Source organism: Homo sapiens, chromosome 5 (genome assembly GCF_000001405.40).
Source record: "Homo sapiens chromosome 5, GRCh38.p14 Primary Assembly".
Taxonomy (NCBI): domain Eukaryota; kingdom Metazoa; phylum Chordata; class Mammalia; order Primates; family Hominidae; genus Homo; species Homo sapiens.
In genome coordinates this window covers 107,010,047-107,025,343 of record NC_000005.10, presented here as the reverse complement: position 1 = coordinate 107,025,343, position 15,297 = coordinate 107,010,047, and the positions used below count along the sequence as shown (strand labels likewise).

At 35.5% G+C, this 15,297-nt stretch overlaps 1 long non-coding RNA gene across 1 annotated transcript in view; it reads left to right on the top strand.

Annotated features, from left to right (window-relative positions):
* The first annotated feature begins 14,329 nt into the window (after nt 1–14,329).
* The window catches only part of LINC01950 (long intergenic non-protein coding RNA 1950), a 195,818-nt gene continuing 194,850 nt past the window's right edge, over nt 14,330–15,297 (top strand). Inside the window, exon 1 of the long non-coding RNA NR_104671.1 lies at nt 14,330–14,404. This is a non-coding gene — a long non-coding RNA (long intergenic non-protein coding RNA 1950). The remainder of the gene's footprint in view (nt 14,405–15,297) is intronic.

Sequence of the window (15,297 nt, the reverse complement as noted above, 5' to 3'; positions counted from 1 at the left end):
ATAATGGCTATGAATAGTTCAAAGCATGGAGTTTATATTTCCTGAAATGTTGCTAAACCTTCAGTGTTAATTCCCAACATATACTCTAGCATCATTTCAAAACTATTCTTAGGTAAGCTTGATTCCCATTTTCAAAAATTGATATCACCTTATAGGTTCTAAAAGTTTGGTGGTTTATTCAGGGCAAAGCCAAATGTTTTGATCTATAAAATAGACCTGCAGATCTTGTGAGAGCAGCTTTTTCAAGGATATTTCAGTGTTAGACCATCTCATTCCCATCAGTTAGATACATTAGAGAAGATAAATGAAAAGCAGTATGTGACTAAGAACAAATTTGAACTGGGCAAAAAGTCATATTTTATGGTCAGTAACTTAGATGATTTGAATTTGAAGACACAATTACATAAAAACAACCAGATACTGGGGCAGCTTGACAAGAAGGCACTTTGTATTAATGTTTTCAGATTTTTCCAAGGCATCCTTGGTATGATTCCACTGACTCTAATAGAAGTTTCATGTTTAAAGCAAGTAGTCTATAAAAATTCAATAATGGGCTATAAAAGCCATCATAGCTCTTCTGTCAATTGAATGAAATATACTTGATTGTTTCAACTTAGAGCTCAGAAAATCACATGCTGAAGAAGAGACTAATCGAAATTGTTTTATGACAGTGTGCCATTATTTAATTACTAACACTTGATATGTATATAATAGAGCTTGAATAATTGACAATTAGATATAGGAGTAGATATAATTATTTTTAGAATTCCCCAATACCTATAAAAATCCTCACAATCCAGGTACAATCTGAGTGACAAATATTAGCATTATTAGCCTAAAATTAATAGCATAATTTTTCTTCTTATTGCATGTCTTTTGTATTCTATGTCTAATGATATCATTTAATTTAATGTCCAGGGGATATTTTCAAAATACAAATTCATAGGTCAATATCCAGGCATTCTGAATTAGAATTTCCAGGGCTGAAGCTTGTAATTTTTATTAAAAAGGAGAAAAAATTGTTTTTAGGCAAGTCCAATATTCAGCTTGGTTCGGGGATTCATTGGGTAATTTACTGATAATTTTCTGTTCTCTATTTTGACTCCCTTTTGTCTCCCTAAGACTTTTCAATTTTATGCAGTAATGATTCCCCAAGGACCCCATTTTCATTGATTATTCTTATTCTCTGATCCCCTTGACTCCCCTACATTTTGTTCACTGTTGCTTCCCTCAGGCTCTTAAGCTTTCTTCTGAGATCAGAATCTTGCTTGTTCATCCTCACTGTCATTCTGTCTTTCTCATATCACTTTTCTTTACCAACTTTGAGTTTTACAAAGCTCCTTAAAAGAACTACTCAGGATTTCCACTTTCCTGTCTAGACTTGTAACTTGAGTGTACTCATGGAACTAAAAGCAAAAACACCAAGGCCCAAGTTCCCATTTCTGAGAAATATTCCTAAACAAATAAAAATATGCACAATGATTCATCCACTCATTCATGTTCCAATATGTGTTCTTGGGTCTCATATGATATATTTGGTATTGTACTACATTCTGGGGATTCAGCAATAAACAAGATACACACAGTTCTTGCCCTCATGGAAACTCTATTCTAACAATAAAGACAAAAGTAATTCATTAACCAAATAATTTCATATAGCAGTAAGTGCTTTGAAGAAATGTATTGAAAGGTAAGGTGTTCATGTCAGAAGAACAAAAATGGCCAAAAATGGAGAAAAGTTTGAATGAATAATGGTGAATCAACCTGAGGGAATATTATTCAGTTACTGAAAGCTGTAAATGTTAAGACTTTGCCACTAAATCTGGAAAACATTTGTGGTGCAATAGTCAGTTAAAAATATAGGATAAATTATATATCACTATATCTCTGCAAGACATATAGAGAAGAAAACAAAATTGGAAAAAAGTCCATTTTTGAGATAATATACTCTTCATAATTGCAGTGTTATTTTGGATTAATCTATTAAAGAGCATGAACTGTGAAAAATATAGTTTATTTAATGTCTTGTTAAGCAAAAGAATTCTATTACCTGGTTCATCTATACACTACAGCACTTGATTTTCCATAATGATAAACTTGAGGCTTTGAAGTACATCTTAAGTCATCAAGGAAAAGATAATACTTTACTTCAGTCTAATTTTGTGCTAAGTATATATTATTGTGGTTTAATTTTTCATAATCAGTGATATATGCATGGAATTAAGTAGGGTAATAATATATTAACCAGAATATTTTATTAACCAGAACACATCATTTCCCGATACCCTAGATAAGAGAGTTATTTATAGGCAAAAATAAATAAATTAAACCTCATGCTCAGACTGCTTTTTGTTAACCTTCAGTTTCTTAGAGGATGTTGGTTGCTAAATTAGAATCCTGCAAAGGTGTCTGGAGAGGCATAGAAACCTGTCTCTTTATTTCACTTCTAAGTAACAGACAGTTATTGAGTGAGTGCTCTTTTCCTGTCACTGGATATTGAGAATTGGAAATTGTTAAATATATTTTATATTTTTTTGTCTGAACATCTATCAGTTCATTCAAAACACATAGCATTTTTGTAGACTATGGTATCAGTGATTATAAAGATCCATTGCTGAATTAAATACAGCATTTGTGGAGAAAAATAAATAATTATATTAAATGTCTATTGAAATTTTTAGTCATATCCCAATTTAAAAAAATTAAAATGTGACTTAGAATCAAAGAAATATGATACATATTCTAGAGAGTGTTCCAAAATTTGTCTGCAGATGATTCAGCTATAATAAAATTCCAGCACTGATTCTGGGCTGATACTGGAAGGTAGCTGTGGCAAAGAACAGGATCCTAAATAGTGATCTATGAACCACTCCATTCCGAGGCAGACGTCTCACCAACGTGTGGTGAAATGACCAAAAAAAAAAGGGAAATACTCAACTTTTCACAACAATAAATTTATTTAATTTAAAGAGTAAAATGCCCTTTCTTTTGTGAACTGATGATGATTGGAAGCAGCCTTTTTTTGTTTTCGTTTTAATGTGCTTGGCAAAAGAAACATTAGTAATGCCGTGGTGGCTTCCCATATATTTTGGAGAAGTTTTCGAATCCATGGATGAGGATAAGTGGTCTGGTGGGAGGAGCAGTGAACTTATTGTCAGGAGGACTGGGATTGATTTGGCTCTGTCAATTAATAGCTATGTGTTCTTGAGCATTTCTGAGTCTCAATTCCTTCATCTGTGAAATAGGTCTAGTACCAAGTGCATAGGCAATACTGCATTAATGACATAACATTTGAGTTTCTCACATATATTCCTGCTCCATAAATACAACTAGTTACTTTGGTTGACTGTGTCTTGTTAACGATGTTGTTTAATTTCAGTTTTCTCAAAGCTCTCTGATTGAGAGAGTGTTAGTCAGCCACCCTGGGCTAACTTCCCTTTAAACCTCCAAGTTCCATTTGTGCCCATAAGAAATCCTCAGTGTACCTTCTTGACCTTCTGCAACAATACTGGATCATGTCATACCACTTTCTTACCTCATCTGAACTCTGTCATTTGATTCTTTCGGTGACACAGTGGACTTCAGTGACCACTAAACAACATGGATTACAGCGTGAACATGCAGTACAGAAACCACAAGTTGTCAAACCTGCTAATCATAATTTGGTCAGTAAGAATCTAGGATCCTGAAGAAGACATGAAGATAAATGACTCTTTAAAATTGAAGAAGGAGCAATCATTACCTCTGTTGTTTTGAACCAAAAAGGTCTTACTCTATGCAATGTTAGTGCAAAAGACGAAAATCGGTGAGTTCAACAATATTTTTATTGGAATAAATTTTCATGTGGAATGTCGATTTATCTTTGAGTATGCAATCTTGCCAAATTGAAAACTCTCATATATAGTTCTTTTAAATTTGATCTCTTGGTATGTCAAGAATTCTCATATTACTTTTAAAATAAGATCTCTACCTAATACTGGAAGCATTTATCTCAAATTCAGTATTTAAATTACTACTTTGAATGACTGCTGAAATTAATCTAATATCAAGTTTATATACCTTTATAATTTTTTTATTTTGACAACATGGTTTCATAAGCTATGATTAGTTCAGGGATTTTGTGGGCGTAATGTACAAGATAAGCAGGTTGAAAAGTTTTTTGACTTATCAAAGCCACATTTTGAGAAGTAAGGAAATGCAGCTTTCTTGACTGGCATCTCCATAATTATTTGCACAATTTTCTGAACTGTTTGACAAGTTCTCATTTGTCTTTAAAATAAAAGGACTATAGGGAGAACACCCTCGGACCTTCGAGGTATTTTAAAAATCTTTCATGAATAAACACTACTTCAGCCAGAGGGGAAAAATTGACACGTTTTGAATTTTTAGATCATATCATAATGCTACTACTCCAAATTCAATGAAATTTTGACTCTAAGGGACATTTTGACATCATTCTTACACTCTCTGAATTAACATTTAAATATTTATGCAATGTTTCAGTGTAGAAGAGGAACTGTAAGACTTCCCTGAATGAGAGGTTAAGCAAAGGTTATGATATTACAAATGAGAACTAAATAGGACACTGATGCTGAGAAACTGGGATCCTGTTAGCTAGACTAATAATGAATCAAGTCAACGAGAAAAAAGTTCCCTCAAGGTGAGGTTTGCTAAAGTCTGAATATAAATGGCCATATTATTATTAATGCATCCATTCATGAAAATGCTATAATACTAGTTTATGGCACAGAAAAGATAGAGTGTGAGTCACTATGAAAGTGTGAATAAAAAGGAATTATTCATACCTCTCAATTTAAACAAAGTTTAATAAAGGGGTAGAGAAATTTGCCTAATTTGTAATATATTTCTCCATCTTTTCCTTACTGAATAAGAGTTTTGCATTTTATTTTCAATGGGGGGTAATCATATTAGTTTATTTTAAAAGAAAGCATTAAAAATCAAGCAACAATTCCAGGACCTATTTGGAACATTGCATTGCAACATATCCTTTTTTATTGACTGTTCTCACTCTCGTGGTACATTTCTGCCAATACACTTTGAGAGAATAAAGTAGTGAGAATGTCTATAATGATGTTTTTGTTCTTCCACCCAAAGTTTTTATCCTTGCTCTTAAGTGTAAGTGAAAATGAACTACTTTCCCAACCTATACTTTTGAAGACACCTCAGAGTTATACAGAATTAAATTTGAAGATTGATATGGTTTGAATCTGTGTTCTCTCACAAATCTCATGTTGAATTGTAATCCCCAATGTTGGAGGTGCAGTTTGGGTGGGAGGTGATTGGATCATAGGGGCAAATTTCCCCTGAGTGATGTTCTCATGCTAGTGAGTGAGTTGTCGTGAGGTCTGGTTGTTTGAAGTGTGTGGCGCCTCCACTCCCTTCCTCCTGCTTTGGCTGTGTAAGTTGTGTCTGCTTCCCTTTCTCTTTCTGCCATGATTCAAAGTTTCCCGAGTCCTCTGCAGAAGCCACTATGTTTCCTGTACAATCTGCAGAACTGTGAGCCAATTAAAACTCTTTTCTTTATAAATTACCCAGTGTCAGGTTTTTCTTTATAGCAATGTGAGAGCAGACTAATACAAACATTTTAATCATTTTGTTTGGTTTGTTTTTTAGAGACAGAGTCTCACTCTGTTGTCCAGGCTGGAGTGCAGTGGCTCAGTCATGACTCATTGCACCCTTGAATTCCTGGGCCCAGGCAATCCTCCCACCTCAGCCTCTCAAGTAGCTAGGACTACAGGTACATGCTACCACACTTAGCTAACTTTTAAATTATGTGTGTTGCCGAGCTTGCCATGTTGCGGGGCTGGTCTCAAATGCCTGACCTCAAGAGAGCTTCCTGCCTTTGCCTCCCAAAGTGCTGGGATTACAGGTGTAAGCCACTGTGCCTGGCCCTTTATCAAATTTAAATATATCTTTATTATTTTGTTTCATATTCGTATTTGAAAGATTATCTTTTTGTGCAATTAATCTTTGTAGAAATGATATACAATGATCAAATGTGTTGGAAGTTAAAGGTCTTCTACTAAGTTTGGAGCCAAAGTAAAAAGCTGGTAGTTGAAATGAACATCTTCACCTTAAGTATATTGAGTGAAATAATTTTATATGAAACTTAAAATAAAAACAAACCTATCTTGACCTCAAATTTGGTTATCTTTCTCTGCAATGCTATAAGAAGTCATACTGTGCTGAGAATGATGTTGTTGCAGTAACATTTAATGTTGTTTATTGAAACTTGAAGTTTAAAAATTGAATTAGATTCACATTGTTCTGCTTTGGTAAACTTTATCTGGAATCTGATGTCAATAAAATTTCTACAAATACTCATTTATGCTTTCTGATGTTTTAGTAGATAAGCCTGGACACATGTAAATTTTAATATACTACATATCAATTATTTGTCTCACTCTTTCTAAAACAAAAGAATTTAGATATATTTAGGCCCAGTGAGAATATACATGTGAATGAACAGTGTAACCGAGGTGAGCACTATAAATATTCACCATGTATTTATTTTGCATTCATTTTGAGCCAGATTCTGCGTTATGTGAATATAATGGTGTGCTAACCAGATGAGGTTTCTGACTTCATGGAGCATACTATCAAAAATAATAATGGGGAACTTTATTAGTAATAAATAATTTATTCTGAAACCAGTCAAAAATATTGTAAACACTTTTACGATAATGGATCTTTTAAACTTTATCTCTCCAGTGTCCTACTCAAAGTCTTCATATTTTGAAAGTCTTTGGATTCTCCATGTTAAAAAATGAAACTTCTCATGAAAAATTAGTAAAATGCATATACTAATAATGATCATATTTCTAATGATGTTACCATAACCATTTTCACACATTGAATTTAAATTGATGAAGTATTTTCTTTGACTAATATGTTTTGAGCATTTTGGAATTGTTCATAAACTTTGGCAGAATGTCCCAGATTGGACACTGTACAGCAAACAATTGGACACAATACAAGCTAGGAATTGCTTATATCTTCTCAGATTCCTTGTTGAATTGGCCCTGGGCTTTATTATCAGAATTTAGAATTTTCAGAACTCTTTTTTAGAGATATGCTTCCTGTTTCCTCACATTCCTTCACTTCTCAAGCGCCCCTCCACCCACACCACCGACTGGCTTCTGACTTAAGCACTCTATGCATAATCCAGGTTTATAATCCAATCTAAAGGGACATTTTCACTCTTAACCCTTCATGAACCAGCTTTAGGATTTGATACAATTGACGATCCCTAACTTCTTGAAAACTTCTCTTTATTTGAGTCTTACAGGATTTTCTCCCTTTTATCATGTTCTTCCTTCTGTTCTTTGCTCCTTATTTCTTATCCTCATCCATGAATAATACGATTTTTTCCCCCAAAAGACTCACCTTTGATCCACTTCTATTCACAACATGTATGCTCTCCTTAGTAACTCTAATTTGCACTTATCAAACACAATTTACAATTCTGGAGGACTCCCAAATCAGCATTTCTCATCCTCCTGGCACCAGACCCATATTCCCCACTGCTTTCTGCATATATTCATATGGAAATTGTGCAGGTGCTTATCTATAGCTAAACTCTGGGCACCAAGTCTCCTTACCTCCTACAAACATACCCAAACATGCACATAGACAACCAAAACTTGTTTCTCTTCTGTATTCTTAATCTTTCCTATAGGAATTAGTATTAAATTATACTTGACTTCTCATTCTAACTCCTCGACCCAATTTATCCCATTTTATATCTGCTATTTTTTATATCTTCTTTATGTCTGCTATTTACTCTATATCTCCTCTAATTTAGTTTATCTGCTTCCTTTTTTCATTTTACAAACCTTAAACCCTGTATTAGTTTGCTAGAGAAGCCATAACGAGGTACCACAAACTAGGTGTCTTGAACAACCGAAATGTATTGTCTCACAGTTCTGGAGGCTAGAAGTTTGAAATCAGGGCTTTGGGAGAGTTGGTTCCTTCTGAGGCCTGTGATAGCCATCTTCTCCCTGTATTTCTTCATCTTCCCTCGAATGGATGTCTATCTCTTTGTCCAAATGTCCCCTTTTTATAAGGACACTATTGCTGTTGGATTAGGGCCCTCCCTAATGATCTCAGTTTAATTTTATTACTTTTATTAAATGCCTTTCTCTCAGTAAGGTCATATTCTGAGATCTTGGGTATTAGGATTGTCTCTCTCTCTCACACATACACACACACACGCATGCATGTGTGTGTGTATATTTTAGAGGATGCAGGTCAACCAATAAGAAGCTCCTACTATGTGTCAGATACTGTTCTAGATGCTGAGGACACCACGTGATGGGTGAGAGTACTATTTCATGGAGCTTAAAATCCAGGGATTGGGGATTTCTCTCTCTCCATGATTTGGGAGAGACAGATGACATATTATCCTTAAAAATGAACAAAATAATTTAAGCTGGTGTTAAGTGATATGGCTAAGATAAAACAAGGGGATAGTGTCTCTGTTTTTGGAATTCTATAATAACTTTCCACCTCTCCTTGTCCTCCTCACTTTCTCCACTCTGTGACATTGCCTTTGTAGCTCAGTAATGGCATTTAGAACTTTGAACTATAAGTTACCTGTGTACATGTCTGTCTTTAAAACCACTGAGCTCCCCAAGGGCTCATGCTCGTATCCCCAGGACATAGCATGAAGCCTGGCACATAATGGGTTTTCATTAACTGTTTGTTGAATGAATTTATTTTCTAATCATTACTCTGTGACATGCAGCAAACTCAAATAGGAATAAAAACCATGAAAGGAATACTCTTTAAAAATGATGCTTTTTTGGGTTGTGACTATAAATGTAAGAATGGTAAATAAGAAGGAGCCCATCTGGTCTAGATATCTATACACATAAAGGATTTATTAGCTCAGGGCTTTACGATGATAAGAGAATAGATGAACTCACACTGCAGAATAAAAACAGTGGAATAATGCTAGTTACCTGTATAGTTACTTATTTATTAAATAAATACACTGTCAAGCCCTTATATGATTGTCTATGTTTTCCTCATTAGGTATTGGTAGGAAACTTAGCCAGGAGCGGTTGAGTCAAATACTGTCTCTCCTGTAGTCCAGCCCTTATTTTTCTTTTTGGGTTGTTCTGGTACTCATGGGCATCCTCGGTATGTCACAATTTGGCCCTGCTATGTTAGTGACAGCAGTCTCCCCTTCTCCATGGTTTCACTTCCCGCAGTTCCAGTTACCGGAGGTCACCGATGGTCCTAAAGTAGGTGAGTATACTATGAATATACTACAATAAGATATTTTGAGAGAAAGAGAGAGAGAGAGGGACCATATTCACGTAACTTTTATTATAATATATTGTTACAATTGTGCTTTTTTATTATTGTTATTAATCTCTTACTGTGCCTAATTTATAAATTAAACTTTATTATAGGTATGTATGTATAGGAAAAGTCACGGTATACATAAACTGTGGTACTGTCTGTGGCTTCAGACATCTACTCGGGGTCTTGGAAGTTATCCCCTGAGGGTAAGAGTTGGGGGATGGCTACTAAACAAAACTTTCTCAAAATGTTTTCATGTATCTACTTAAAGTTTACTCTTGGTATATGATTGTTTATTAATGACATTTCCAAGTCATCTTTGTTTCTTTCTAGTAAGGGCCATTATTGGAAAATCAGGATTGGCTTTGGTGCCTCTTCACTGCATCCTTATCTGACCTTTTTTTGGTGGTGAATTGGACATAATTAGAACAGCAGGAAAAGTAATCAAAGGAACTTCCACACAAGGGTTAAGCTGAAAAGTACAACTCCATTGGGCAAAAATATCAGCTCCATGGTAATATCTGTGTCTGCCTCAATGTCATAGAACCTCTCTGTCTGAGTATTGCCTGGTCTCCCCCCAGGTGACAATGTCTGCCTTTCCTCCTCACAGGATTACTAAATGATAGATGCAAAAGTACTTAGAACAGTTAAAAGTGTTACGTAAATGTTAATAGGAATATGACTATGGTGACTTATCTAGGACCAAAAGACTAATATATAATGAGCTAGGTTGAAGACAGAGCATGATTTGAATTTCTGCTCTGAGATACTGTCTCTTTGTCCTGAGTTTGTATATTTTAAGAATGGAGAACAGGAATATGATTTATTTATTTATTTTTTTAAGCCACCCCCTGACAACCTTGTTTCTGAATATTTTTTGATATACACAACCAGGGGAAAGACTAGCATGAAAATAGAGTAGATATGTGGCATGGAGATTGGGGACACTAAGCCAGGCAGAGGAAGCTGACATAGTGGAGAGAAGGAAGAGACAGAAATGGTGAGAGAGCAGAATAAAAAGTGGTTAAAATCTTGGAGGCTTGCAGGGTGATGGGGTCTGAGGTGGCTGCAGTTTACAGAAGAAATGGGTTTGGGGAAAAGGGATTTGATTAGGTGTTTTTGTAAGCAAAAATTGAATTACCTTTAATGTTCCTTTGAAGTCTGAATTAAATATTGGATTTCCTTTTTAATTATTTGAGAGCTGGATTTTGCTCCCTCGACTTCTTTTCCATGCATGGACTGTACAATGTGGTGGTTGCATTTCATTTTTTGGTTTCAGATGAATAGGCAAGTACAGAATAAGTCTTTTTCTAAGAATTCAAATATAGAGAGTTTGGCATTTGAATTTTTCAATTTCAACTTACCTGTATTACTGAGCTCTAACATTTGGTAGTCAGTTTTAGATAATAATTGAAGTAAAACAGGAAATATTGAGATTAGGATTCTAAGAGTGACTGGTATTTCCATCATGTCTATTTAATGAGAAGTACCAAGTAAAGAAATACCTAGATGGAAATTCAGAGCTTTGGGAGGAACATTCCTGCTTCCAGGCCACCAGGGTGTCATTTAGTAAATTGCTTCTCCAGCACTCTGACTGGAGTTGCCAAATTTCTATGAATTTAGGATTCAAATCAGAAGAAGAATCCAATCTATTTCAATTATTAGCCTAAATGGTGTGTCTGGCTGAGTCCTTGTGACGAGTGGGTTCATTTATGCTGAATGCCACCTATAAAAATCGGTCTTGGTTCACTGCCTGTGTCTGCAGGTCCAATCTCTAATGTGTGGAAGTCTTCCAATCTTGTTTTCAATCTGAAAATCAACTACTGTGATTTTTTTAAGTAGTAGTGCCTTTCCTGAGACAGAAATACGGATGTGTCCATGAAGATGGTGTGAAATACGTATGTGTTGCGTTGAAGAGCCTTTTGCCCTTCATCTCTCTCTCTTCCTTAGACATAAAGACTCCACATTCCTCACATTACTCTTTTTTTTTTTTTTTTTTTTTTTTTTTTTTTTTTTTTTTTTGCTTATAACCAGTTTTAGCCACTGATAAATGTAATTAAATGTTGCTGGAGCAGTAACACATTTTGATATTTTCATCAGAATTGCCTCAATCTGAATTAGTTTATCAAAATAGCTTGCATAAGTCAGAGTCCTCAGGAAATGAGGGGGCGAAGTGTCTGAGAAAGAGGAGGTGAGCAGAAGGGCCAATGGAACAGGAGAGAGAGGGAATTAGAATCAGGGAAAGAATGGCTGTGGGGAGTTAGTGAGGGGGCAGTGTGAGAAAAAGGAGCTTTTTCAAAACCCGATCTGAGATCAATCTTTTCCTAAACAAGTGAGTAGAAAAGAATCCAGCATATATATGTATCTCTAGCATATATATATGTGAAATATATATATATATTCCACATTATGTGAAATATATATATATATTCCACATTATGTGAAATATATATATATTCCACATTATGTGAAATATATATATATATTTCACATTATGTGAAGATTTTCTTTATTACACAACTACAAAGAGTTTTAGTCCAAATGTTTCTGTTGATGATAATTAGGTTGTTTCCAGATAATAACAAAGTAGAAACCAAAAAAAAAGAGAGAAATCCTTGGATTGCATCCTTACTACATGTAGAGATGGATTTTGAAGAATTCATTTCAGTAATTCTTCACATTTATAAAACATATCTGAAACTAGTTTCTGATCGTTTAGTAGAAAGAATGATAAAACAAAACATTTATTATCTGTTTTATTCATTCAGGGTTCATTTTATTCATATAGAAATGCAATATTAAGCTCTGATGTTCCTATTGAAAATAGAATCTTAGAATGCATGGGAAGAAGACCCTAAGCATTTTATTTAATTTGATGTGAAATCCATATGCTGTCACTTACAGACATCAAGTCTAAGAACCTGGTGGGTATAAAATGTGCTCCGCATGGTCCTATTTAGAAAGACGCCTCAAATGGGAGTTTTCACAAGTTCCACAAAACACATTTTCACACCAAATTTGATACAGACATGTATTTCGAAATCCCCCTATTGACATTTGAATATAGAATGGAACAGTTTCCCTTGAGTTTGCAAGTGTGTTTCAAGTATAGGTAGGGGAAAGTACAAGCTGTGTAAACATCTGCCACTTGAAACTGCATTGTGGCATTTAGACTTTCAAAGAGATTGTGTTAAAAAATCTATTTTTCCTTAATGTAGATCCAATGGAGTTTTATATATACAAAACAGAGTCTCTGATGGTTTCTGTCATTAATTTCCAAATTAAAAATGACTTCAGCCACGCATATACTCCTGCTTTCTCTGCCATCAGTCACATCGTACACGTATTTTAACTTGTATGTGTTAAAATGTGCGGGCAGTCTCGGTGGCTCCGGGATTTTCGGTTGAGTGCTGGAGTAGTGGAGGAGAGCCCAGCCTGGCGCATGTGTTCATGTGCACACTTGGGAGCACACACTGACACGTCTTCACTGATCCGGAGAGATTGGTATGGACATTTCTTATGCAAACCACACTCAGGCATTACCTAAACATGTTATATGGTTTAGATTGTGTGAGAAAGTACTAATTTAAGTTTTTGGGTTTTATCTTGAGAAAAGGTTACATATTCTAAATTCACACAAAGTCACTATGTCGGGTAGTGGCAGCCCTGGGTGAATTAGGGCACATTTTACTCTCTTTATACATTTCTGTTTTACTTGTTTTGTTTTTAAAGTATTTTAATTTTGTATTTTCTATATTAAAAGGCAAGAAATTTATGTAAGTAAAGTTCCTTAATATTGCTAGACGTTTAATACATTTTTCTGGAAATACTGAAATAAGGCTTCTCTAGGAGCTGCAATAGAAGCCTGTTTTGTGGAAAAATGAGCTCGTTTGAACAATGTGCATGTGAATTTTAGATTAACACAGATTGCACATGTAAGCAATACCCTGATGTGAGGTTCTAAAAGATGTGGACATGATTACACTGTTCCATTGATACCAGATTTTGACATAAACCATTCAGAGTTGAGTGTACATGTGGATGCAAAGCATGTGATCGCGTCATGCAAGGGCAGGTGCCTGTGAAATCACAAAGCTCTCTAAGGCATACTGGAGGAGAGGTACATCTGTTGCACTGCCTAAGGTTTCTCCAATTACATCTTGATTAAATAGTCAGTCATTCAGCAAGTATTAATTTAGCATTCATCGGATATCTGGGGAAGAAGAACTTGCTGGCCTTGATCCAGATCTTTTGCCTGGGCTCACACTGTGCATTTCCTAGCGTTGTCAGTAACCGCATTTCCCTCAAGATGGCCAGATGAGCATGCTGTCCAGCCAGCCAGCAGCTGTCTTACCGACAGCACAGTCATCTCTAGTTTCAGCGCTAGGCCCAAGCCACAGGAATATCAAACGAAGGAATCCATATTCAGTATGGCACGTAAATGAATTATTGGGATGTTTTCATGCTGCAGCAATTAAGGATTTCAATCTATTGTGAACCTGTTCATTTGCTTTGGGAATTCAAATTTCCAAAAAATTTGGACAGTTTAGTTTCTATCTACAATCTGATGTAAAGGTTTGTGATTTTAACTGCATCATATAAATGTGTGTATATTATTGTACTAAAGTTACATATAACAGAAAAAATGAAAAAAGTCAGATATGTCATTTCTACAAGATGAGAACAGTTAATAATTTAACGTGTATCCTTCCAGACTTTCTCCCATGCAGATTTATAAGAAATGAATTTTCTAAACACGAGGTTATGATATACATACCGATCCGTAACTTGTTTTCGTACTTAACAAAATACGATTGACATGGCTTGGTTCTTTGTCCTTACTCAAATCTCATCTCCGTCCCCACGTGTTGAGGTAGGACCTGCAATTCTCACACGTAGAGGGAGAGAGGTGATTGGATCATGGGGGCAGTTTCCCCCACGCTGTTCTCGTGACAGTGAGTGATTTCTCACGAGATCTGACAGTTTTATAAGAGTCTGGCGTTTCCCCTCCTTGTGCTTTTCTCTCGTGTGCCATGTGAAGAACCTTGCTTCCTCTTTGCCTTCCACCATGATTGTAAGTTTCCTCTAGCCTCCCTAGACATGCAGAACTGTGAGTCAACTAAACTTCCTTCCTTTATATTAGGTTGGTGCAAATGTAATTGTGGTTTTGGCCATTAAAAGTAATGGCAATTACATTTGCACCAGCCTAATAAATTACCCAGCATCGGGACTAATACAATGATGAATGTCATAACAATTAATGTAATCTTTACAATCATCTTCTCACCTGTGTAATATATCTGTGTTTGTCTTTTAAATATCGTTAATACTTACATTCCCTGAAAACGAAAGTTTACTTTTTAACAGAAATCAGTTGTACTCAGACTTTGCTAGTTGTTGGTAATTCATAATCTTGCTTCATATATTAATACAAACTGCTAAGTTTTGTTTGTCACATTGTTCCTGAGGCTACGCTCTTATATAATCTCTGAGAGAGATGAAAAGTTCTAAAATTCTACTTTATATGGTAAGGAGAATCCATATAACTTTCATTTTAAAATGTTTATGTGCATTTTTTTAAAGTTCTGCAATGCAGACCTGCCTTTTCTTTCTGACTTTCACAAACTTGATTTTATGAGCATACAGGAGCTGTGTTTACCGCTCAAGTGGGCATATTCTCTCTCCATAGTCCCAGGCTCAGAGACCACTCCTCTCATGTCCAAAGTAGTGCAGGCCCCGGGAACCCTGCAGCTCTTTTTGACCGGATCGCTTGTGTTGAGACTTGGTGCGCAGCAGGCTCAGGTTGCCTGGGCTTATAGTTTCTTTTTAATCAATAGTTGGCATAACTGTAAATAGCCATTCTTTTGCCTTCTAATAAGACCCATTTATGTTAAATGGGAATGCCATTTCACTTTCCGAAAGCAGTAGCATTGTTCCCCAAGGCACTTTGTGTTAGAGGATTGAGTA